This window comes from Homo sapiens, chromosome 7, assembly GCF_000001405.40.
Source record: "Homo sapiens chromosome 7, GRCh38.p14 Primary Assembly".
In the NCBI taxonomy this organism is placed as follows: domain Eukaryota; kingdom Metazoa; phylum Chordata; class Mammalia; order Primates; family Hominidae; genus Homo; species Homo sapiens.
This window is the reverse complement of record NC_000007.14, coordinates 41331602-41359159: the sequence shown is the minus strand read 5'-3', so window position 1 is coordinate 41359159 and position 27558 is coordinate 41331602. Positions and strand designations below refer to the sequence as shown.

Sequence of the window (27558 nt, the reverse complement as noted above, 5' to 3'; positions counted from 1 at the left end):
GGGGTAAATTACAATGTTATTTATACTTGCAAGAAATTGCAAGAAAGTACATGTTCAATAAAGAAATAATGTCTTTTGTTGTTGTTATTTTGTTTTGTTTTTTGAGACAGAGTCTCACTGTGTTGCCCAGGCTGGAGTGCAGTGGTGCGATCTTGCTCACTGCAACCTCCACCTCCCAAATTCAAGCAATTCTCCTGCCTCAGAGTCCTGAGTAGCTAGGATTATGGGAGTGTGCCACCATGGCCAGCTAATTTTTGTATTTTTAGTAGAGACCAGGTTTCACCATGTTGGCCAGGCTGGTCTCAAACTCCTGACTTCAAGTGATCCACCCGCCCTGGTGAGCCACCACGCCCAGTCAAGGAAGAATTACTAAATGAAATTGTTATACACATTTCATAGACTTTTTCAGGCATTAAAATAATGTAGTTTTAAAAATATATGTTTTGATTAAAAATTATTAAAAACAATATGATCTCGGCCGGGCGCGGTGGCTCACGCCTGTAATCCCAGCACTTTGGGAGGCCGAGGCGGGTGGATCATGAGGTCAGGAGATCGAGACCATCCTGGCTAACAAGGTGAAACCCCGTCTCTACTAAAAATACAAAAAATTAGCCGGGCGCGGTGGCGGGCGCCTGTAGTCCCAGCTACTCGGGAGGCTGAGGCAGGAGAATGGCGTGAACCCGGGAAGCGGAGCTTGCAGTGAGCCGAGATTGCGCCACTGCAGTCCGCAATCCGGCCTGGGCGACAGAGCGAGACTCCGTCTCAAAAAAAAAAAAAAAACAATATGATCTCAAAATAAATACACAGGCAAAATAAAAGGCATTTGGGTTATGAATTTAGTGATTGTTTTTTCTTATTTAAATGTAAATTTCCTCGAATTTTTCCATTTTGTTTTCTATAAAGGGTTGTATAGGTCTTTATAAATATTTTCTTCTGTTTTAAAGAACTTTATTGTGAATGGGAGAAGAGACATGGACGAGGGGAGGTAGTTTTTGTTTGCTTGTTTTAGGGGGTGTGTGTGTGTGTTTGACATAGGGAAGATTGAGGATTGGGCTAATAGAGCAGCAAATTCTAAAAATATGACAAAGAATGGGATGAATCTAAGATAAAACCTGAAATCACAGCAGATGGAAGGGGATGGAATTAGGCTCAATGCTAGGGGGATTATCCTTGAAGCAGGACAGAAGTAGAGTTGTAAAGGCACATTTAAGTAAAGGAAAAAAATGTTTAGGGTGTAGATGTCGAATAGCCCAGAAATCCTCAGTGAGGCAGAAGATGGTATCAGAGACACCAGAGAGGTGAGAAGGATGAGCATAAGGCCTTGATATTAGTGGTTGAAATTTTGGAATAATCAATGTCCAGAATAAGGGATGGAGCTGATCAGCAATTGCAAAAGATGCAAAGGAACAAGCTGTGATTGGAGATCCTAACTTTGTCACACCAGCGCTGTAGCGGTGTCTGCTACTCTCCTGGAGTGGAGTGTTGGCTGGCACCTTCGTTGTAGAGCTGAGAAGGTTATCAGCCTTCAGTCAGTGTGGTGGCTTGCTGGTGTGGCATCGGAGGACAGTCTGCTGAAGGGGTTCTGGTTGAGAATGTGGACAGAGAAGTGAGGAAACCAATGCCCCCACGGGGTCAGGCTAGCTGGAAAGGAAGGGAAACCACAACAGGGAGATGATGGGTGGGCGGAAATTGGAGGAGGGGGTCTCAGATGGTAGGAACCACAGAATTCCCCAGGGAAGCTTACTAAAATGTAGATGAATAAGTCCCCTCCCAGGAAAGGTTAGTTCATGAGTGGATTCCAGCAAATTGCCTTTTTAATCCATGAGTCAGGTGGTCTGAGGGCCATACTTCAAGAAAACTTGGGGTAGACATTGTAAGAATCCAAGCTGAACAGCGGGAGTAGCAGAAGGAGAAGAAAAGAGGTGAGAAATGTGAAGGAATAAGAGCCTCTGCTCAGAAATTTAGGCATTACAGCTGAGGGTTTCAGAGGTGGCAAGGTCCAGCCCATGACTATGGTAGCCCCTTGTGGGAGCATGTCAGTCAGAACATCACGGAACTCTGATGTTTGGTCTGTGGCTGAGTCTTCAACATGTTTTGTCAACAAAAATTTTCTGTGTGCTAAGACAATGTTTCCCAAACTCATATTCCATGGAACAAGGCTCTTACCAGAAATAATAAGAAATTCTGAAGAACAACAATGACAAAAAAGTGTTCCATGACCAAGTCATTTGGAGAAATGTGGGCTTAAAAAAAGTCAGGAAGATTCATTTATTATATATTTCCCAGAGCCTTTGTGTTTTATGACTGCCGAATGAGGATAATTTAGCATGCTGCTCTTCCCAGGTGGAAAGGGCAGGGAAGGGAAGGGAGGGGAAAGGGAGAGAAAGAAAACAGAAAAGGGAACAGCAGGATGGGGATTCCTAAACTTCCAGTGGCTGGGGTAGTGCTGCCAGGGTCTTCCTCCTGGCTTGGTCTCCCTCCGTTTTCTCCCTTCTCCTGTCACTCACAGACACTGCTGATTTCTGGAGTAGCAACATGGGCCCTGGGCAATTGATAGGCAGCACCTCTCAGACACCTGTACACTTTCTCAATGTTCATCCTAAAGTCTAGTGAATAGGATTAATGTAGTCAATCCTATTTTCCTAAGAAAGGGGTTCTTCATAAATGGTTTCAAAGCCATGTAATAGAATCATCTGACACCTTCTTACTTACTGCAATTTTGAAATTCCAAAATTGTAAAAATGTTTATTATTTTGTAGCTTATTGCTAGTGGTTTTGGTATACACTATTTTTCAAAGTTTGCTTTTTTTAATGTTAAACATATACCGAACTTAAGAAATAAATGCTTTTGAACATTTATTAAGGTAACAATTTTGCCTTTAGTCTGTGAATTATAGTAGCAGATTTTCTATTATTTGACTTTCTCTGCATCCCTTAGTAAATTCTATTTGGTGATGGTACATTACTATTATTTTTAAAAATATGCCAATGGATTGGCTTGGCTAATTTGTCTTTTAGCAGTTTTTCATCTACATTCATAAGACTGGCTTATAGATTTACTTTCTTAGTTGTTTTTGTTCAGTTTTTCTTAGAGGCAAGCTAGTCATACAAAATTGAGAAGCGTGGCTTCTTATCATCTTTTATAATGTGAAATTTAAAAACATATATATTTTATAGGAATTGTGAGTCCCTGAAGGTTGATGTAGCTTATGCAAAACTATATGGGCCTGATGCCTTTCGATAGTAGTTTACTTTTTCCTAGATTGATGTATTGAGGCCTAATATTTCATCTTCTGTCAAATTTATAATTTTAATTTTCCTAGAAAATAAAGCTTCTAGTATTTTGTCAAATATGTTTAAATAAAACTATACATTATTTTGAAATTTCAAAAATGTTTATTTTGAAAAAATAACATACGCAGTTGGTAAAATTAAATTGTTAAAAAGGTAAGTAGATGGTTGACAGTAAGCCTTCCTTCCTACCGGTTTACAGTGCCCAACCCCCTACCACTTACAGATGGTCAATTTTACAGATTTCTTGTTTAATCCCCCTGCAGAGATATTTTATGTATACACATGTCAATACTTACAGAAGCACACTTTTATATGGAAACAAAGCATGGTATCCTCCTAATGTACCAAGCTTTATTCGACTCTCCTCTTTCTTGAAAATGTAGGTTTTTCCAATCTTTGATTCTGTAGTTCGTAGTAGAATCTCATATTCTCCATTTATACTAACTACTGGAGTTGTTACAAAATAAGGATAGATGAGAAATAATAGATTACGGCATTTCTTACACTAAAGAGGAAGCACATCTCCCCAAAGGTGCAGCCCAGGGCCATGGAGCTACATGAACATAGGGTAAAAGCTGACCACAGAGGCTCACTGGCATAGTCTAGAAACAGTAGCAACTAAACTACTATACTTGTAGAATGAATGAACTGACTATAATGTGGAATTCACTGGACAGACAGAACACAGTAAATTATACAGCAACCCCTGATATATTCAGCAAGGTCTCCAGTTTTGCTGCTCAAGACATGTTCATCCAGCATGCATTTCCTGTGTGCCAGGCATTGGACTGGGCACTGTGAACAGAAACAAGAATTTTGCATCAAAGAGATGAAATATGTTACATTATAAATGTTGTAGCCTCTCTAATTAGATTAGAAATTTCTTAAATTAAAAAAAAACTTCTATTAACACTCAGGGTGTTAATAGACAAGAACAAATATTCTACTCTTATGTACTTTGTTCTTCACTGTCCTAAAATTACTGACTATCAATCTGTATTCCCTACTGTGGGTCCCAGGAATAAAGAAGGAAAAAAAAAGAAAGGATGGATAGTATGAGAATGTCTGAGATGCATTTTATGATGTCAAGGGTAGGGACCTGGGGGACAGATTTGGGAGTGGCACTGAGGTGGTAAAACATTTTCCATTGTTTGACTCTTGAAACAATGGAAAAAACAATGGTTTAATTAAAACAGAGTTGATGTAATTGTCCTTCAATGCCTTTTATACTTTTACTGGAGTATCCACAGGGATTTGTTCTTAATTATCTTTCCTCTACCCGGTATTTGGTGTGCATGTGTATAGTTGGATGATATATGTGCATAATATTGCAGCAAAGTAGACCTTTGTAGGTGTGCTAATGAAGGTAGAATAGAAGCAATTCACCCAGCCATGACTTAGGTCCTTGGTGATGTGAAATCAGACTAAAAAGGATGGTGGCCAGGTGCAGTGGCTCACACCTGTATTCTCAGCACTTTGGGAGGCTGAGGTGGGTGGATCACTTGAGGTCAGGAGTTCAAGACCAGCCTGGCCAACATGGTGAAAACCTGTCTTTACTAAAAATACAAAAATAAATAAATAAATTAGCTGGGCATGGTGGTGCACACCTATAATCCCAGCTACTCGGGAGGCTGAGGCAGAATCATCTGAACTAGAAGACAGAGGTTTCAGTGAGCCACGATTGCGCTACTGCACTCCAGCCTGGGCGATGGAGTGAGACTCTGTCCCCCTCCCCCCGCAAAAAAAGAGGATGGTTATGTTTACCTGTCTCATCTTCTTTTCCATAAAGCAATACGTTTATGGTATTTACTATTTAAAATGCATCTGGATCTCTGTACTTTACACTTTGGTAGAGTTCACATTCTGAATCACTCCATGAATTATTTAATGTTCCATACGTCGTCTGACATCAAGTTTAGAATTGTTTGAATATTATCAATTATACTTATGCATGTTGCCCAGATAAATAAAATGTGTATTCTTTTGAACAGTATCTACCTTAATTTAAAAATTCGCTATTTGTTGTATGTTTCTAATTCATTTTCACTTCAGTTATCAAAATATATTCATGTAATAGCCATTTGATCTCAAAATACTTTTAAAATCTTAAAGTTTGGTCTTTAAAGACATAGGAAGCTGTATTTCATCATTGTCAAGAAAGCTAAAAAACCAAAGAATTTAAATTTGAACTACAACTAAAATTAGCCCAACAAGTTCTCCCATCCTTTCTGAAAGCATGCTTACTGTTCTTCTAAGTGAGGTTTTCCATTACTTTTAATTGAACAGTGCCCCAGTAATGTTTCCAAGTCCACAATGGGTAAACAAAGAGAAAGAGGCAGACTCCACCCTTTTAGAAAATGGTTTTGCCTCAGACTACAAAAGCTTCAAGCTTAAAGACCTTTGAACATCTGTTGACGAACCATAGGTTGCTAACAAATAAATAGTTAAGACTCAATTACTTTGGTATCTCCCCAGAAACAATAATAAGTACATCAGGTCTGTCTCCCACGACTGAGGCTCAGTCTAGATTGCCAAGAAAATCTCCATTGCCCTAGAGATTAAAGGAACACAGAAATGGCAAATAACAGTGTCACTAAATATATAACATTCCATTCCAAGCACAATAGGCAACTGGAACTTTTTTTTACTCTAATGGACCTGAAACACAAAGGAAATTTTTAGTTATTAAATACCATGATTTTACATTATCTCTAAGTGCAAAAGTACAAGTGGAGGCTGGAGAGAAAGAGAGAGAAAGAAGTAGGGAATGACTAAATTATATTTCCCATTAAGAATCCAGAAGTTATGACAGTGGTATAATCAACCTATGATTTATGTCCGGAAACCATTGTCACTGAGAATCTTCAATTACGATTATTGGAATCCAAAAATATGTGTTTGCACAAACTAAAATAAACATAATCTGACCTCCTCTCATGTAGGCTTATTGTGGCTCCTCCCAGGAAAGCAAAGGAGAATTGTGTTCTCTTGTGTTGTATACAGCTTTTATTACATGTCTTTTAATGTTTTTCTAGTTCCGTTTTATCTTTTAAAAGTTTAAGAAGGGGCCGGGTGCGGTGGCTCACGCCTGTAATCCCAGCACTTTGGGAGGCTGAGGCAGGCGGATCACGAGGTCAGGAGATCGAGACCATCATGGCTAACATGATGAAATCCCGTCTTTACTAAAAAAAAAAAAATTAGCCTGGTGTGGTGGTGGGCACCTGCAGTCCCAGCTACTCGGGAGGCTGAGGCAGGAGAATGGCGTGAACCCGGGAGGCGGAGCTTGCAGTGAGCTGAGATCGCGCCTCTGCCCACCAACCTGGCGACAGAGCAAGACTCCGTCTCAAAAAAATAAATAAACAAATAAATAAATAAATAAATAAATAAATAAATAAATAAATAAAGTGTAAGAAGGGCTGGTAGCAAAGAGGTATTTTCCAAGTTGTCACAATAGATAGGGTTCTCTAGAGATGCCTGAGAATCACAGTCCCCTGTTAGCCCCTAGCCTCAAAGTTAGTTTGGAAGTAATGTGAATGCATGCGTTTAATCAATTCCATGAATAGCCTTTACAGACAGACATAGCAATTGAGAGGTACAGATGAGACAAATGAACCTTTCTACAAGGATTTTCCTCAAAGCAGTTCACCATACTTGCAGTTAATTTTCTCACCTATTTCTCCTACTAGTCCTCTGTGAAAGACTTCTGTCCTTGGTCACAATACCATAACTTAAAATGGAAAAGGCTTTCAGCATCCAAAAAGCTTTGGGTCAAGTGGATGGATTTACTTTCTTGGCCTATAGACGACTGGTTTCCCAATTAAGAGAAAGTCAGGCCTTCGGCTCTTGTCCTCCGAACTAAGAGAGGGCTGAAATTGTCTCTGAGACACAGCGAAAACTCTCGGTCCATGAGACAGCAACTGAAAGTATAAAGAATGCTTCACAGTGTGGTCATGAGCCTATTTTATTCATTTCCCAGAGAAATGGTCAATTAGTAGGACCTACAAACAGTTTCTAGACTCCTCCAAGTGTTGCTGATGCAAAACCACAATTTTAGGATAAAATTGTAAATAGTCCATTAACATCACCAAATAGACAGGGAATTTGTATTAACTATAAGGGTGCTACTTTCAGTCTTGGGTCCTACTGTTGATTTTATTTTTGATATTTTACTTTTGTTTTATTTATGATAAGCTAAAGGTTTTTATTTTTGTTGCTCTCCTATGCCCTCCTCCACTCTCAACCTTTCTGGTAACATTTAAAACTTGATTGATTTACAGTACTTTTTTTTATTGTTTGTTTGTGTAGTTTTGTTGAGGTGTAGATAGTTGTCCTCTTTTATTGGTTTATTTAATTGGTTGTTCCCATAGTAACATTTTTAGTACATTTTTTTTCAGAAGGTTGAAGGATGCTTTGGGGCTTTTGTGTGGTGGTCTGTTAATCTTCAACAGACCCTAACAGGATTCCTTTGTGCCTTTTTCTACCCTATTTTTAAGTGACTTGACTTCTTTAACCCTTAGGAGGCTAAGTTCCGTTGCTTCTGGGCACCACATCTTCAGATAAGGTTTGTTTGATGGAATTTGTAGGGTGGGGTGGCCAGTCTGTGACCACAGAATCATTATCATGAGAGATTCAAAACACAGGCTGTAAAAAGGAATCTAAATTTGCATACTATAATTATGAAATTTATATAGCATAGTGTGGCTGTTTATATTTGGTTGTCAATCAAAGGAAGTGTAGCTTTTTTATTTTTGTAGATACTTTTTTGACTTAATTGCTGCTGAGTGGCTATTCTTGGTCAACTACTGTTTGTCTTTGACCTGCTTTCTGTGGGACTTAGTTGTGTCCTCTAAGTTTAATGGACGTTGTGAGACAGAAGAAATGAAATCATTCATGAAACATATTTGGATGTTTGTTCACTTAAACATTTCCACTCTGCAAAGAACTACTCTGAAATCTGGAAGTCAGTATAATAACTTGAAAATGTAAGTTTTAAGCCTTATTGTTACTCAGATATGAAGTTTGTTCTCATATGCATTTAACATTTACTGTGACATAGTGATATGGAAGAATTGTATTTCTGTGATTATTTTTAATAATAACCATAACCTAAAATGTATATCACATCCATCCTAGGTTCTAAAAGAACTTTTCTTGGATTATTTATTAATCCTGATAATAGGATTAATCAGGATTAATTAATTGTAAAACACTGAGTCAATGGGGGGGTACCAGTACTTTTAAGTGTTTATATATAATAGTAACACAAACTGTTATGTCATGAATGGGGGAAAATATGCTAAAAAAGTATCACAATTATTTTTCCTAGGTATTGTGAAATAGTCTAAACATACAAACAAAAGGAGACATTTTAAATTATGTAAAGTAATTTTCAGTAGTGGGATTCATTTTTCAGATATTTTTCCTTCCTGTTGGCCAATGTCTATTAGGATGGATTATTGCAGGGGTCCCCAACCTTTTTGGCACAAGGGACCAGTTTTGTGGAAGACAATTATTCCACGGACCAGGGTAGGGGGGTGGTTTTGGGATGATCAAAGCACATTATATTTATTGTGCACTTTATTGCTATTATTGTTACATTGTAATATATAACGAAATAATTGTACAACTCACCAGAATGTAGAATCAGTGAGGGCCCTGAGCTTGTTTTTTTGCAACCAGAAGGTCCCATCTGGGGGTGACAGGAGACAGTGACAGATCATCAGGCATTAGATTCTCATAAGGAGGGTGCCACCTAGATCCTTCACATGCACAGTTCACAACAGGGTTTGCGCTCCTGTGAGAATCTAAAGCCACCACTGCTGTGACAGGAGGCAGAGGTCAGGTGGTAATGCGAGCAGTGGGGAGCAGCTGTAAATACAGATGAAGCTTTGCTCGCTCGCCTGCCATTCACCTCCTCCTGTGCAGTCCGGTTCCTAACAGGCCACGGACCGGTACTGGTTTGTGGCCCTGGGGGTGGAGGATGCCTGGATTATTGGACCTCCACAAGGTGTTAACAGCAGTTGAATTTTATCCTAATAATTGTATTGCCAGAAACTATATAGCAAATTTATAGGACGTGGAAATGAAACAGAGCTGATGCTCTAGCTTGCATATTTAAGAAGTTACTGCAGATACCCTAAAAACTGAGAGGAGGATTCGTACTTCTCTCCTTTTTGTTCCTTAGGCATAATGCATTCCATTTGGCTGGGCGGATAAAAGGATACTGTGTGTGTATGTACCAGAGACTGTGCTAAGTATTTTCTTTGCATTGTCACTTTTCAAAAGAATAGGAGGCCAGCATATCAGCTAAGAACATGGACCCTGAATTTAGACAGCACTGAGGTTGAACCCTGCCTCTGCTAATTCCTATCTGTGGCCCACTGGTCAAATTCCCTGACTTTTGTGAATCTCAGTTTCTTCATCTGAAAGAAAAGAGTAATAACATAGTGTCCACCTCGTAGAATTTTTGTGAGGACTAAATGAGATAAGTGGGATTGGAGAAGGTTCATTGTGTTTAACTTTTTTTAGTGTGAGAGTTTAGGATTTTTCAGGTTCACAGTGGTGAGGCAAAATGAAAGGGCAGGAGATGGTAACTTGTTGGCAGGACAGAATGACAGTCCAAGTGGTGCCCACTAAGATGCTTTCTGCATGAAAAATGCTGTCATGAATGGGACTAATGGAATGATTTATCAACCAGACATTATTTAAGTTAGAATTATTTAAGTTAGAACACTGATTGCAATTATAATAAAATCTTGGGAAAATATCACTAGACCCAAAAATACAAGTATTCTATAGAGAACTCTATTAATTTATTGTTTGAAATTTTACCTGGTCACTAATTCACTGATCATACTAGGATTCTTGTGTGGTATGAAGGTCCTAGTGCTTACTTATACTATTAGAGAAATCTTGTATTATTAATAGGATTTTTATTAAAAACTCTAAGATAGTCCCAATAAATGGAAATATATGGCTTCTCAAGAGATGCTGTCTTCTGATGATAAGGCTTACTATTGTGTTCTTGGATCACAGATGAAATTATTATTATGTAGTTAATCCTCAGCAGAAGTTAGAAAAGGTGAAAGGTTAGCATTTGGTATAGAGATTAGGACAAGTTTATACGGTCACAAGGTGTTTGTAATTGACGCTCTTAGAAAAATGCATACATGCCCTAGATTAAGTGCTGGAAATCTTTTTCCATCCACTTTTTTCACTTCAGAAAGACATTGTAAAAAAAAAATTTTTTTGAAAAAGGGTCTCGCTTTGTTGCCCAGGCTAGAGTGCAGTGGCATGATCTCGGCTCACTACAACTTCCACCTCCCAGATTCAAGGAATTCTCATGCCTCAGCCTCCCAAGTAGCTGAGATTACAGGTGCGTACCACCATGCCCAGGTAATTTTTGTACTTTTAGTAGAGAAGAGGTTTTTCATGTTGGCTAGGCTGGTCTTGAACTTCGACCTCAAGTGATCTGCCTGCCTTGGCTTCCCAAAGTGCTGGGATTACAGAAGTGAGCCACCGCACCCGGCCAGTGTGTTTTAAATATAAATGTTACAAAAGTATATTACAAAAACTTTGCAGAAAATAGTTCCAGCCTTGGGAAACATGGTGAAACTTCCTCTCTACCAAAATACAAAAATTAGCAGGGCATGGTGGCATGCACCTGTGGTCCCAGCTACTTGGGAGGCAGACGTGGAAGGATTGCTGGAGCCCAGAAACTCAAGGCTGCAGTGAGCTGTGATTGTGCCACTGCACTCCAGCCTGGGCAACAGAATGAGACTCTGTTTCAAAAAAATAAATAAATACAATAATAAGTAAAATGTTTAGAATATATGCAATAAGAAAATTAAAATTATCCTTAATGTTTTAGTTTTAGCTATTATCCCTTATTTGGGCTCCACATAGAATCATGTGGTAACTCCCTTATAAAATTTACCATTTTACACTCAGTATATTGCAAGAAACTTCTATCACCGCATGTTCTCCTACAATCATATTACAAATGAATGCAATTTTGCTTTTTATGAACCAGTTTGCTTCATTGATTCAGTCCCCTAGTTATTTATATTGGGTAAGTTATCCATATTATTTCAAATATTTCACCATGAGAAACAAACTCTTGCAGGTAATTCTTGGTACTAATCTATCATTGCTCCCTTTGCATAAATTTCTGAAAGTTAAATTGGTAAGTTAAGGGGTATGCAGATTTCCTTGGCTTCTGCTATGTAGTATTATGTCAGGAATTATTTTATTTATAAATAACCCACAATTTGAGAACTAATTGTCCCATTAGTACTACTATTAATATTTCGCTTGCAAGTTTGGTTAGCATAAAATATTCATATGGAGGAAAACTATTCATTAACTTCTCAGTATCATAATGTAGTGCAAAGAGCAAATAGGCTCAAAATAAGATGCCCAAGATTAACATGGGAAGACACCAAAGAAAGCCTAGGCTGAAAGCCTCACATGCTGTTAGTGAACACTGAATGCCCGGTGTCTTCACATGAAGGCAAGGGTTGACACACATAACATTCCCCACAAAATTAATTCCCCCCAGAGCTTGGTTTTCTCAATATTTAAGGAAGTAATTCAGAGTCCCTGATAGCCTCCGTGATATTCTTCCCTCACAGGCCCAATTTCAGTGGTCTAGAGAAGCTCAGTGATGCTGAGTTGAGAACCCATATTCAAGTGTTGACTATGCAAAAAGAATGCTGAGAAACCTACAAATGACAATACTCGCTGGGGTGCTGGCAGGGAGGAGAGCAGGGCTGACCACATGACGTGTGGCGTGTGCCATGCGAAGTGTGTGTGCCAAGGGTTTGTCAATAGACTCTGCAGGGCATCATTTTTTTGGCAATAAGACTGCTAACAAAAACATTGTCATAGTTTTGTGGACTTATATGATAATGGAAAGGTATCACATTTAACTACCTGATGTCTGAATTTGGGGCATGAGACTGCACACACCCCAAGTTAGAAACAAATTGACCTGTGTGGCCTGAGGGTTTAACAGACCCTGTTCTTTGGGGTTAAAAATCATCTGCTCCCAGCAAAATTCAACTTTCTGGGTTTTTTTTTTCCTTTCTAAGTGAGGGGCAGGGTAGGAGGAAAAAGGAAGGGAGACCAGCTTTAAATTACTTATAAAAAGGACCCAGAAAAAACTTTTTGGACATCAAAAAGCTCTACAAAACAGGCTTTTAATGATTTAAGTGTAAATGAATCAAAAACATATGGATAACATTTTCTTTTAAAATACCCTTGGGTTCAAAAAATTAAGGAGAAAACTAAATGGCAGAGAACGTTTTAGATTTAGAGGCGTAAAAAATTTTTTTTAAGAAAATAGCTTGAAGAGTTTGAGACACTCCAGTTGCACTTGGGGTTACCCATGCTGATGGGAAGATGAGTGTTAGGAGGAGCAAGATCCCCTAAATGCAGGGGCCCTGGTCAACTGACCACATGCACAAGGCATGACACTGGAAGCCCCTTCCAAATACATGCTTTGATATAGGATCTGGGGAGCAGGCCTGAGGGACAGGTACTGAGAGAACATAACTTGCATTTTCAGACTCTTAGTGATTTAGAAATGCAACATGCAACCACGAACTACTACTAGAGACAGAAGTAAATGTGATATAACCCACCTGGGGGAGGAATGGAGTTGACATGAGGTCTTGTTCACATAAGCATGTCCCATCTTCCATGGGCCTTTTTGCTTTGCAAGAGCTTTGCAGCTTGAAGGTAAAATAATAAGACATTATTAAAATATGTAAATCATTTTATTTTCTGCTCCAGATAATTTCTTATTTGTTTTCCATAGTGCACGAAACAGCAATGAAATTCAATTTGCCATCTAAATTTTGAGTAATTCATGCATGGTACATACACATTGATGTTTACTTTTTATCTTCATAAAGAGTTAAAATCCCGAAGTCTGGAAAGCTGTGAAAGGAAGCCATGAGGGCTTTCCTATCATCACTGCTGGATTTTCTACTGCCACTCAAAGGACTTGAGCCACAGTAAAAAGCTGGAGTCTTTGAGGGTGTGGGAAGCAATGTCCCTTAGGATGAGCAATCTCTCAACTGGGTGGTCTGTATCGATTAGTCAAAATTTAATCCCTAGACTTTGATTACATTTCAAAAAGGAATCCCCCTCCCAAGGTTAAGTTTAATAAAACCATCTTCAGGGTGGTTATCAGAAAGAGACTTGTGCACACTCAGAGTAGCCTGCATATATAACTGGTCTTGTATTTTTATGATCAGGAGGACAATGGAATCCTTGTCCAATAAATCTACCTTAGACTAAGCCTTTGGCTAGCATAGTGTATCACCTGAAAATGCAGCACTCGCCCACCAGCATTAGACAATGGAAACATGGAATGATCAGCACAACCTTTTACTAATCCAGGAAACATCATAGGCTCTCAGTGGGTTTCCAACTCAGTTGATTTAGTTTTAGCAATATTTATGGAAACATATGAAATATCGGGACTAGAGTTTCTGTTTCCATTCATAGGCACGTCATTAATATTTGATGTTCTTTTTCTCCCACTATCTGACTCTGCATCTCACAGAGAACCTCAGTCAGTGTATTTCTCTGTTCTCATTGACTGTCCAACCTTTCAGTCTTTTTCCTGATTCAGCCGAGATGAAAGGGTGATGTCCAAGATTACTATTTTACCACCACCATGTTCAGTGTCAACCCCTGAGCCCCCCTTTCCCACCTCCCTGCAGTTGTTCCTTTCAGTCCCTCCCACTTCCTGATATACCATCCAGAAAAAGTCTCAGATCCACCATGTTTCATTTTCTCTTTTATATTCTGAAATTATTGCATTCTGCTGAAGAGAGAATCACACAGTAGGGTGGATTGCTGCCTCGCTTCATTCATAGTCTTCAGTCTCAGCCAGGCCACCTTCAGCTTTATCCACCAGTCTTTGAATTTGGCCTGAGCTGGCTCCTACTCTCCCCCTCTCCAGGGTCCCTTCTATACATTACCTCTCCTGAGGCTTTTATCTGATGCCACAGCCTCACTCCAAGGCTCCTCCTTTCATGTCACAGGTGTGGATTACCTGGACCTCTGGCCCCTCCTCACCACACTGAAATTCCCCTTCTCTGTCCCTCCCTACCTCTTGTCTCCATGGTCAAAGAATGAGACGCCCTGTCTCGTGTCCAATGCCAACATCTTCAGCGTTGCCCTTGGTCCCATCTGCTTTCCTTCAAGACCGTGATCAATCAAATACAATATTTACTGTTTTATCTTCAACCATCCCTTCTGTCTTGGCTTCTTTCCCTTGGCCTAAATAAATGTTTGAATCTTTGCACACTTAAAAAACAAAACAACAGCAGCAGAAAAACTCTCTGGGCTCTTGTGTCCTCTGTGAGTCGGCCCTCCGACATTCTTCCCTTAGGGATGAAAGTTCTTGCGGAAGTCGTGCCACCTCTCCACTCCCTCAAGTCTCATCCTCTCACTCCACGACCCGATCAGCCTGCATCAGCCTCCAGCCCTCACCACTTTTGGAAAGGCCATCTGAGACCATCTTCTTTCAGAATCTAGTGATACTGCACCAGTGCTTATCTTGCTGGGTGTCCTGGCTTCCTTTGATGTTACGGAACATTCTTTCTACTTGGAATCACTTTCCTGCCTTGACTGTCCTCTCTCTGGTCCTCAGTGACCATTCCCTCTCTGTGCCCTTCCTGGAACTCTCCTGTTTTGCCACACAGTTGTCTGTCTGCTATGCTTTTTAGATATATGCTCATTATGCTATCACCCATTTGGATTTAACCATCATCTGTTTGTTGACAACATCAATTCCATCTTTGCAGACCTGTCTCAATCCTTATTCACATCTTCACACTATTGGTCACTTTTCTGCCTCTGCTCATGCTATCCTCCCTTCTCCCATTTAACTCTGAATCATCCTTCAGATTGGGATCAGTCATCTTCACTTGCAGGAAGCTTTTCCTGAAACACCAGGTTGCTGGTGGCCCTTTTTGTTGCTTCTCAACTCTACTGGTTGGCTTGTCCCTCAGCAATCCTATGTCACTAGGGAATTATCTAGTCTGTGGCCCTGATTCTCACCACCCTGTGTGCCCTGAAGGACACATATACTGAGATTGGGACCTGGTAGCCACTCAATGTTTATTTGAAGAAATATCAGGTTATTTCCTTAATTGACAGGGATTAGTATCACATATAATTTTCAAGATCACAGAATATTAAAATATGAAAGGAATAAATGACTTAAAATTTGTCTTTTTGACTGTATTATCTGCCTATACTATACATATCCTTAAAGTTGTTACTTGCTACACTCTTCTATAAGAACTTTAATTTAATCTCTATAAAATGGTCTTATTGTCCAGTGTAATGCCTACCTGACATAGCTCAATGTCTACCCTGCCCTAACTCTGCTTATCTTTAAGAAACAGGATGCCTATGATTAAAAGTTCCCTTTGTAACCATACCAGCTGAGACTGGTTAGGACCAAGAGGGCTGAAACTTCAAAAATACCTCAGGTTTTCTTATAATCTCATTTCCATGCTAAATGACACTGCCATCAGCACCATGACAGTTGGCAATCACTGTGGCAATGGCTGGAAAAAGCCACAAAAGGACAAAAAGGAAGGTAGCACTCTGGTTCCAAGAAGTTCACCACCCATTTTCAGAAAAGACATGAATACTCCGTCTCTCACTTTTCTTTTCTTTTTCTTTTTCTTTTTTCTTTTCTTTTTTTTTTTTTTTTTGAGATGGAGTCTTCCTCTGTCACCCAGTCTGGAGTACAATGGTGCCATCTCAGCTCACTGCACCCTCTGCCTCCCGGGTTTAAGCAATTCTCCTCCCTCAGCCTCCCCAGTAGCTGGGACTACAGGCATGCAACATCACACCAGGCTAATTTTTGTATTTTTAGTAGAGACAGGGTTTCACCACATTGGCCAGGCTGGTCTCAAGCCCTCCTTTCACTTTGAGTGTCCAACCCCTTCATCAGAGAAACCCTATATCTTAAACCCCTTACCCTTCACTAGTTGAGAAGTTGATTTGTGAACCATGCTCCCTCTTCTCAATTTCATGGCCATGGAATAAAACCTGCACTGTTTGACACTCACTTTTGGTTTTGTATATTGGCTTCCAGTAATCAAACAGGGAAAGACCCCATTTTTGGAGGGACCAGCTTTGTCGGTAACAGTCTAATTTGGAGAGCTAGTTCCTGCCGTTGATTTCTTCCCTTTCCTCTTTCAAAATGTAATTCCCTCAGATAAACCTTCTAAGACCATCCTAACACAGTTCCTGCACATTCATCCCCTATCCTTACCCTAACCCTGCCCTTAGATGAACACATTCGGTATTATGTACTTACCCTGTAATATCAATTGCTATATAGTTCTCATAAATCAATTGCTGTATAGCTCATATCTGAACTTATGATCTTACATTTCTTATGTGATTAGTTTTGGTTTTTACTCTCCCCTAACTCAAGAAGGCAAGCACTTACCTATTTTGTTCTTCACTGTCTTCAATACCAGTCACTATGCCTGGCACATAGAAAGGGCTCAATCAATATTTATTGAGTGAATGAATGAGTGAAGGGAGGACAGATAAATTAGTGGGGGACTATAATTATTCAGAGGCAAAAATGAAGCCTAGTGAGAGAAGGTCATAAAAGTCTTGAGAGCTTGGAAACTGGCCTTACTGTAAAAAAGAAAAACAAAACACTTCCACACAGATGTACTCCTAGGCCAGTAAAGAGCTTAAGTAGGCTTTGTGTTGTTTACAAGAAATGTAGACTTGGTGGGGTGTGATGGTTCACACCTGTGATCCCAGTACTTTTGAAGGCTGGAGGCAGGAGAATCACTTGAGGCCAGGAGTTCAAGATCAGACTGGTGATCACATAGTGAGACCCTGTCTCTACAAAAAAATGAGCTAGCATGGTGGTGGCATTTGCCTATAGTTCTAGCTACTTGGAAGCCTAAAGTGGGAGGATCGCTTGAGCCAGGAGTTCAAGGCTGCAGTGAGCCATGATCGCACCATTGCCCTCCAGGTGGGTGACAGAGTAAGATCCTGTCTGAAAGATAGAAAGAGAGAAAGGAAAAAGAAGGAAGGAAGGAAAGAAAGAAAAGAGGGAGGGAGAGAAAAGAAAGAAAAAGAAAGGAAGGAAGGAAGGAAGGAAGGAAACAAGGAAGTCAAAATGAATCCCATCTTTTTTTTTTTTTTTTTTTTTTTTTTCAGTTTTCTAACTTTATCTTTCCTATTTGGAAAAAAGTGTCCCCATTGTACATGTTTGGCCCCAAATGGTGTCTAAAACAAGAAGAATCAAAGCCTTCCATATATCAGTGGTATGAAAACTCAAGAGAACTGTCAGTCATGGTGCATTTCCCAAGGATTTTGCCCACATAAGTCCTTTTCGTCCTTGTATCTATTGTGTGCCTTACATTTTGCCTGATATGGAAAAGCTGACTTGGCTGTAGTTGCAATATCAAACAGAAATCATACAACTGAAGAAACAGGTCAAAGTCACTTTGTGGAATGTTTCAATGCCAGGCTAAGATGTTTAGGTTTTATGTATTAGGAGGTAATTTTTAAAAACTATGTTAGAATTATACATAAATATGTATTTTAGGGAGAAAATGCTCTAATTTCAGATTGTAAATTGAATTGGTGTTTTCCAGAAATTAAAGATGAATAAACCAATTAGGAGATTGTAGCTTTAATCCTGGTTTTAGGTGATGGGAATTTTAATTACTCCATGTAACTCTATCATTCTCATTCCACAATGGATTATAAAATACAAAAAAAAAGTTAAATGGGGAAAAATAGAATCAGGGAATAGTGACAGAAAAATCACATGGGGGTTCAGAAGATGTAATTCTTACAAGATAGTTATAATTCAGTCATAAATTTGCTTTGGAGCTTCCTGGAGGCCAAAGTAAAACAAGAAACATAATCACATAATTTATATTGCACATATACTAATAATAGCTAATATTGATTGTTTCTAACCTTGTACCAGGTACTGGTTATATGTGTCCTTTTCATGTCACCACTTCCATATATATTTGAAGGCCTCATGTTCTTTATAAATAAGTCTATTAATTAAATCAGCTGATAAAAAGATATTTTACAATGAAGAAATGAAGATTTATGCCGAAAAGCATCCCCCTTTTTTTTCTTTAGAGAATAATCAACCTAAATTAAACTTTTAAATTTTTGGTTTAAGGCAGCCAGCCTGTTTCAACAAAGTTGCCAAATATTCTTAACCGAAAGGAAGCATTGCAAGATATGACAAACAGGAAAGCTAAACAAAAGTCAACAGTGTTGCAAATCATACATTTATGGGAGGAAACGCTCCAGTTCAGCAGCCAAGCCTGGAGCTTAAACCTGCAAGACAGACCATGCTAACATGAATGTGAGTGAACAGGGAAGGATGCTGTGTAATCCTACATCCTGAGGTGCCTGCAGAACTCAGGCCTCGGTGTGCAGGCAGCCAGTGAGGTTAGTGACCTGTAGTGGAAGGCCTTCAGAGAGCAAGTGAGAATACCAGCCCTTAGCTGTGTTGTCACATGTTATCAAAACTAGAAGACTGGACATGTCTTTGACATTAAACTCAAATAATGCACTATTCTGTTCCTCAGTTGACTCCCTGGAAATGAGTGATAAGGCGACAACATCCTCAACATCTTCGAAACAAATCAGTGGGGATTTTCCCTACCTCTTCCTTACAGCACTGTCTGTATGTACGTTAGTAACCTTTTTCCAGTGATAACACCTGGACTATTACCAGGGGTCACCAGTTCAAATGTTGGAGGAGCCAAACAAGAAACAAATGAAGTACATCATTGCAGTTTAGGAATATGGGCCCAGCAACAGGGGAACTATGTTTAAAAAATGAAATTCAAAATACACTTTTAGGCTGGACTCGGTGGCTCACACTTGTAATCCCAGCATTTTGGGAAGCCGAGGCAGGCGGATCCCCTGAGGTCAGGAGTTCAAGACCAGCCTGGCCAACATGGTGAAAAACCCGTCTCTACTAAAAATACAAAAATTAGCCAGCTATGGTGGCATGTACCTGTAGTCCTAGCTACTTGGGAGGTTGAGGCAGGAGAATCGTTTGAACCCAGGAGGCAGAGGGTGCAGTGAGCCGAGATGGCACCATTGCACTCCAGCCTGGGTGACAGAGTAAGACTCCGTCTTTTAAATGAAATCTCCCAAATTTTAAACATCAGCAACAAATTCAAATATTTTTAAAGCCTGCTTGAAGCAATTCTATATGAACTGAAAGCCTCAATTGAAAACTCTCTTAGGAGAAGGTTGAAGCCTTGTGAATTGAATTCCCTATTAATAGTGCGTTTAATAAAGTGGCAAAGTGAGCCGCTGATTGTGGTATTCTCTGGTAAAGATTTTAGGCTTCTGTCTCTAATTAAGGGCAGATACTTGATGACTCAAGCTGACAACAGAAGTGACATCCTTTTGTGAAGATCAAAGTGGTACTAGAACTTACCTGAACCAAGATCAAGCATCTTCCATGGAAGCTCAGAGAGATTATCTGTAGGCTGGGCCATGGCTTGCCTTTGGCCAACATTCATTTTGCCCCAGCAAATGAATAATTGAGCATATATATTAACAGGATTCCAGGCCTGGCATGTTGGCTCATGCCTGTAACCCCAGCACTTTGGGAGGGCAATGCGGGCAGATCACCTAAGGTCAGGAGTTCAAGACCAGCCTGGCCAACATGGTGAAACCCCACTCTACTAAAAATACAAAAGATTAGCCAGGCACAGTGGCATGTGCCTGTAATCCCAGCTACTTGGGAGGCTGAGGCAGGAGAATCGCTTGAACCTGGGAGGCGGAGACTGCAGTGGGCCAACATCATGCCACTGCACTCCAGCCTGGTCAACAGAACAAGACTGTCTCAAAAAAACAACAATAAAAAAGAATTCCATCAGGGTAGAAGAACCTGTGAAAAAGGAAGCGGGCCTTAAAGAATTGTGGGAGAATCTGGGCAAAGAAGGTCAGAAGGGGTAGTTGCAAGATCAGAGAGTTGCAAGTCCCTCCAAGCCCACTGAAAGCACTGGAGACAATTTGGATTTTGCAGGGAAATGTGGGAAGCCAAGCACATCTCTTCTCAAAGGGACTACCTGTGGAAAAGTCTAGGAAGCTACTATCTCTGTGTAACCACTGCCTCTGTGTGTCCATAGGCCAGCATCTTGGGATGGGTGATGACCTCTGTTGGTCAGCTCTGAAGTCAGAAAGTCCTGTCCAGCTGGTGCCATGGGCACCTCTGCATCTCCCTGTACCGTATCTGAGCACAGGAAGGTCTTCAGAGTCTAATGGGTCCTGCTTTATCTTTGCCTCCCAAATTTCACACCAGCTTCTCTTCTGGCCAGCTCTGGAATAACAGAGGTAAGGGGATTTTTGAGAAGCGTATTGTCCAGATTGGCTAGGTCAACCACAGAACAAACTAGCACACAGAGGACGCATACTTCACTTTTTACAAACCAGGTCATGATCAGTTTAGCTCGTGCAGTTCCAAAACCATTTTGATTTCTGTGTTATAGATGAAGTCATATGGGGAAGAAAAGAGGGAAGAGGTGGCTAAGAAGTAAGAGGGACTTGGACTTGGATTTGAATCTTGATTACTTCCTTGCTTTATGGCCTTGGAAAAGGCAGTCCATCTCTCTCATTTGTAGTTTCTCCATCCATAAAGTGGGGCTCCTAATACCATTATGATAGTGTTGTCTTAAGGATCAGACACAATGTTGGGAAAATACATAGTGTTGTCCACGGGGACAAATGCTACGTTTAGCTTATTCATTGTTGCAGTCTCTGTGACACCAGAGTAAGCAAGCAATATGTTTAAATCACTATAATTATTGCTTATAAAAGCAATAGAGGCTCTTAAACACACATGAAAGTTTAAAAGAATGGATGTACTGTGGGAATGAATAGCCAATGAGATTTTTTTCCTGATCTTTTTGGAGGGTGATGAAAATGAATTCTCTCAAAGGTTTGTTGTCTGCTAGGACACATTTAGAATGAGTTGGGTTTAATTTTCATAGTAAAAAAGACTGGGAGCCAGCATAATACAGATTCTGTAAGTAAGTATTCTTTCATTCTTTGTCCAAAAGAGTGTACAGTCATGTAATCTCCCTCAAGGTACATAATCATTTTCATTGTCATTCAGCATCCCATCTCTGAGCAGAGTCCAGCTCACATCCAATAAATGGAAGACCAGCACGCTGACCACACACACTGCATCTTTCTCCTTGAACACATGCACACACTGGCCTTTGGTAAGAGGCAGGGCAAGAATAGGGAAAAACAGAGATGCATTCCACAAAGACATTAGCTAAACAAAAGTCAAGTCCACCAGGCGAAGCCATCAGGAAATTGGTTAACATATTTTTCCCCCATTCAACAAAAGATAGCAGGCACTTGTCTCAATATCTCCTTTCATCCCTGAAAGCTTTAAAATTGATTCATGGTTTCATAACTACAACAAAGTAACCTTGGATAGATTAAAATCAAGGCTTTTTTTAATTTGGATATCAACAGCAAGAATCCCACCCAGGTCTTACTAAAAACGACTTTGGCTGACGTTATGAAATGCTTCCTCAAGCTCTTCTTCAGCCAAATGAGAAGTCGTCTGGAAAGGATTCATCCTTTTAGTGTACACAGAAGATCTTCTTCTTGGATCTATAAACTAAGTCTTTAAATTCCACTGTAATTACTCCAAAGACATAAATAGAGCCGATACTATTTCTGGTATCCCAGCTGGCCCTTTAGACAAGGTACACAGCATTTTCAAATAAAGCTTCCGCAAAGTGTGTAGGTATTCTAGCAACAGACAGATGCCTGGAAATTCTAAAACATAGTGTCTAAAAAGAATAGCTTCCAAAAATGCTAGTGTGTAAGACAGGCTCCTTTCTTCATTTTAATTCTTGTACCAGTTGTTAGGATTGAGTTTCTTAGTAAGGACTTAATCCTATTCTGTTTTCAACCACTAACTTGGCTCTCTTTGAAAGTATACTGAAACAATTCATTAAAATACTCATACATAAAGTTTTATTAAGAGGACATGTTATTGCTCTCAGACTCACTCTGTAGTTATTAACCAGTGCAATTTAAAAGCTTTATTTCAAAAGCCAGAGCCTCACAAACCATCCTGGTATTTGTGCTGATTAATACCAACATCATATCCATTTTAAAAATGAACACCACCCATATCTGGAGTATGTCTCAGATTTGGACATGAACGTTTTGCTTTTGTTCTTTGTGGACATGTTTGGCTTTCTTTTCAGAGAAGATTTGTAGAACCGTAAGTTTCCATGCATTTGTTTTCTCTCCATTGTTTCTGATCACTTTTTTATTTTCCCTCTGAAATTTGAATTCAGATTACAGGTGCCATTGGTACAAAAAATGAACATAATTTATTTCCAGAGCCTATAGTCATTTTCATTTCTTGACTTACTAACAAATATAACTGAGAATCAGCACTGTGTTCTTTGATTATTTATCAGTGGATATGTATCAGCTGTTCTGTGGGTTAGCTCCCTTGTAAGCCAGGATCCCTTTGGGCATGACACCAGGGCACAAGGAAGAAGCAAACCTAGAGCTTTAGCACACAACTATGTGAGCTAGTCCACAAGAGGGACAGCCCATTCTCAGTGCTGGCCCTGATGGAGTGAACTGGCACTAGAGAGAGCATTTCCGTCTAGATTTGTGAATAGTATGATGAGAGGATGGTGATATTTAAGACTGGATCAGACAATTTCACATTCTGCTATAGTGACTAAAAGGAGGGGTTTTGAAGTCAGCCAGGACTTGGCCAAATCAAAGTTCTCAGTGATCATGTTGTCTTCCATAACATAACCTGTTTGAGGCTAGATCGCATCTTTTGTATAAAGAAGATGCCATATTTTAATGTCTGGTGCACAGTGTGGGCTGTTATTATTGACTACTCTGTAGTCATTGGCAATATCTGCTCATAAATGAAACCTCTGCTTACAAAGAAAGCCAAACATAGCACACACACAAAAAAGTGGGCATTTTGTGGCAGAAAGACTCTAAGGTGGCCCCCATCGTACCCACCTCCCCATACTCCTCTCTGTTTCATTCCCTCTCCTTGAGGGTGGGCAGGACCTGCAACTTGCTTCTAACTAATAGGACATGGCAAAGGTGATTGGACATCAATCTCATCATTAGGGTATGCTATAACAGAATCTATCTTAACAGACCAAGCTAGAGACTTTCCTGTGGGCTTGATGCATTGAATGGCTGAGATGGCAAAACCCATGTGGCAAGAAACTGCGAGGAAGGCTCCAGGAACTGCCGTGGCTATTAGGATCTGAGGGCAGCCTACGAAAAGTCAGGGCTCTAACCACAAGGAAATGAATTCTACCAACAACCTGCATTAGTCTGGATGTAAATTCTAACCTAGTGGAGCTTCCTAAGGAGAACAAAGCATGGTCAACATCTTGGTTGAGCCTCGTGAGACTGAGCAACAGACTCAGCTCAGCCGTAGGCAGGCCCATAACTCTGACCTGTATAAACTCTGAGAAAATAAATGTGTGTTGTTTTACGCACCTAAGTTTGTGGTTATTTGTTACAATAAAACAGAAAACTATATATATGCTTAACTAGAGAACTTGGCTATTATGCCATGCAAATAAGATCATTTGAATTTTTATTTCAACAGTTATTAAATTCTCTTTCTTCTGGTATCTTTTTCTATGAATCAAAAAAAAAATTGTGATTCCAGGATTTTTCTCTACAATTGTAGAGTCATATGAGAAAGTGGCCCTTCAAGTTTAGCCTGGATATTGGTTGTCATTGAGACTTCATAAGGTAAAGAGCCCAGTTAAGAGAATATATTTTTAAGTACTTCTGCAGTGAAATTTTACAATAAAAAAATGCTTTGTTGTGGAAAGGGCTTGAGAACAGTTTCTACTAAGAAGGAAAGTAAACAGTCATTTGTTCACTTGCCCAATCCTGCTCATCATTAAATATTCAGCAGAATGTCACCCAGTTTTGAATGCACTTTTCATGTCTCTCCCAGGCATGGGAGAACTGCTTCTCTCCTTTCAGGTTCACAGAGCACCTTCACTATGAGCATCTTACTCTGTGTTGTAATTGCCTACTCCATGGTTGTCTCTGCCCCTAGCCCAGCACTAGCAAATTACAGCTCAGGGGCCAAATCCTGCTTACTGCTTGTTTTGTTAATAAAGTTTTATTGAAACATAGCCATGCCTTTTTGCTTGCGCATCATCCATAGTTGCTTATGTATGGTACAATGCAGGGCCTAATGATTGCAACAGAGACTTGTGGCCCAAAGTCTCAACTATTTGCTATCTGGTCCTTACAGGAGAAATCCTGGCCCTAGAGGTAGACCATGAACTTCACGAGGTGGTAGACTGGGTCATGTTCATCTCTGTGGCCTCAGAAGCTAGCCCATAGCAGACCCTGAATTTGTAATTTAGTGAATACAAAGATGCATCAAACACCTGAAATTCAAGCTAACATTAGCATTTATCTTCTAAATCAGACCTTCCCTAGAGAAGCCCGCAGAATTTCATCAAGACTCTGTCACAGGGAAAGAGTCTGTCCGCATACTTTGTATGATCCTGAAAGTTGAAAACAGAATGAAGACAGCTGGCTATTAAAGCACATTCCTATCCTTCATTAGGTCACATTTAGACCAAATTGTCATTTATTAAACAATTTTCACATTAGTTACCAAGTCCATGTGCCTTTCAGGGGACAGTTATCCTTTTTTCAGATTCACTTAGAACCAATTTCCAAAATACTGCTGGTGTATTTGCTGTCCAAGAAACCTTTTAATTTTCATTTGTAAACCTTTTTTGATGTTGCTCCCTTGACAAAAACAGGAAACTATTATTTTCTAGTGGTAAACAAGTTCAAATTCAAGTTAGCCACTCAATTCCCCAATTCAAGACTGTGTTTTGTATACATTTTTAAAAAATCATCTTTCTAATCTTCATCAAATGTATCAAAATTCTCAAGGAAAAGCCAAGTGCCTTAAAATTTTGTGGGAATCAAAGAATTTAAAGATCCCCCCACCACTCCAGATTTGGCTTTTCTCCAAAACCAGTGAAACCTTTCAAATCTCTTGTGATTCACTCCTTCACTATTTCAGTCCCCTGAGATTAGTCTGAGTGCTTTCCCCTTCATTCATCCACCCACAATCTCTTTTACTCCCATATGGGATGTATACAGTAACACTAACCACCAAGAACAAAGCAGAACAAGATGTTTGCCATGGATATCAAGTCTCAAAAGAGACAATTAAATTGATACAAATCATCATTGCTTTCTGAATCACCATAGACTCCAGTATTTTAGAATGCCAATTACTATAAAGTGTTACCTAAAGATTTTATAAACAAATGTATTAAACTCGTAGGGGAAACTTAATGAGTAGGACGATGTTTCCTTGTTTCATCATGATGTTTAGAAAATTCTTCCAAGTCGTTTGATGAATGCCTCAAGGAGAAAGAGACCTCAATTTCCTACTGGGGTTAGTAAACAATGATGCTTATCCCTTCCTGGCCTTTGACTCTTTTCGCTGAGATTGGACTCCCTCCCTTAACACCACCTTCACCTTCTAATCACCCACTCATCCTCAGAAAGGACTGTATTCCCCTTGGTCTGTAGAAATTTACAAAAAAAAAAAAAAACAAAACTGTAATCAATATATAAGGAGCTTTATCTACATTTACCTATTTATCTTTATATTGAATACAATGTTAGCTGTCCTATTTTAGAATGTTTTCCCTACTTAATTGGGTGGACAAAATGTTCATTATTTGATAAAATATTAATGTCACTGATTTCAGTTTTTATATCCTTATTGAACAAAAGATAAATTGTCACTCTTTTATCACCTCCTCCAGTTTTAAAACAAATTTAATAATATATTTAATTCAACCCATTAGATGCAAAATATATCATGTCATTATGTAACCAACATAAAAATCATTAATATATTTTACCTTTCTTCTTAAAGTACTATATCTATGAAATCTGGTGTGTATTTTACACTTACAGTCACATTTGTGACTAATTTGAATTAGTCACAAATCATGTTCTCAATTTTCACATGTGCCTAATTAGCTATCATATTATATAGCAAAGGAAAATGTCTTGATTAAATTGAAACTGACCACTCTGGATGATAATAGTCCATAGGTGAGGTTGTATTCTTCATATTCAATTCTTCCAGGAGACCCACGATGTCCAATTCTTTCACTATTCATGACATGAAGTATGGTCATTTTATTAAGGAATACCTGCAATCCCTTTTCATTGTAGAAGATTTTTCCTCCTTTCAAGTAGTAAATGATCTGTTGGATGATACATTGGCTCTGTGTGAATTTTCTACTACTTAAGAAACCAGCACCAAATGATTCTTACATTCACTGATGATCTCCACTTGAATCCCTAAATCAATAATTGCATTATGTGTTGTAAAATAGTTTTTGTATCATCTTTTCTCTTATTAGATGTCATTCTTCGGTAGAGAAAAGCTTTTCTTTTCCTTTCTCTTTTACTATTACTTTTCAAAAATTTCAAAATAATCATGTTTTTAAATTTAAAATGCTCCTTCACATTTCCTGAGGGTTCTTTTTCTATTGTATCTTGTTCTTGTTCCTTGGATGTAAATTTCTCTCAACTTACTCTGAATGAACTAGATGGTTCTTGGTTTGGTTTAATTTTGAATCCACTTTATTAAGATAGCCATGACCCAGGATAAAAGTAGTCAGGGTCCAAAACTCATTCCTCCAATATTTAAACTGATCTATGAAGTCACAAAGACTCTAAGGACTTAGAGCACTGAGGAGTCATTAAAATAGAGAAGAGGAGGGGATGTTGGGAGTGTTTATGACTCACAGAAGGCCAATGACTTATCTAAGTTCTCTCAGCTGGTTAGTGGCAGTGAAATAAAGTGAATTATAACCTAGATCACTAACTCCTGGACAAGTGCACTGCTTAACATTCTGGGCTGCTCTCTGCAGAGCTAGTGTAGCCAGCTCCTTCAAGAGCAGTCAAATCTCATTTGTCATTAAACCTGAAACTTTTCAGATGAGCCCTATTCTTTTTTTTTTTTTTTTTTTTTTTTTTTTTTTGAGACAGAGTCTCGCTTTGTCACTCAGGCTGGAGTGCAGTGGTGTGATCTTGGTTCACTGCAACCTCCACCTCCTGATTTCCAGCAATCCTCGTGCATCAGCCTCCCGAGTAGCTGGGACTACAGAC

General features: G+C 39.4%; 1 long non-coding RNA gene across 2 annotated transcripts; it reads right to left on the bottom strand.

Annotated features, from left to right (window-relative positions):
- Window positions 1–3455: 3455 nt before the first annotated feature.
- Window positions 3456–27054, bottom strand: LOC105375246 (uncharacterized). Of its 2 annotated transcripts, XR_927197.2 has the most exons (6): window positions 26983–27054; window positions 26469–26648; window positions 12939–13028; window positions 8926–8983; window positions 6965–7211; window positions 3456–4089 (listed from the first exon to the last, which is right to left on the bottom strand). It is a non-coding gene; the product is annotated as an uncharacterized LOC105375246 (long non-coding RNA). The 2 variants fall into 2 exon arrangements; XR_927198.2 differs by lacking the exon at window positions 6965–7211.
- Window positions 27055–27558: the final 504 nt, after the last annotated feature.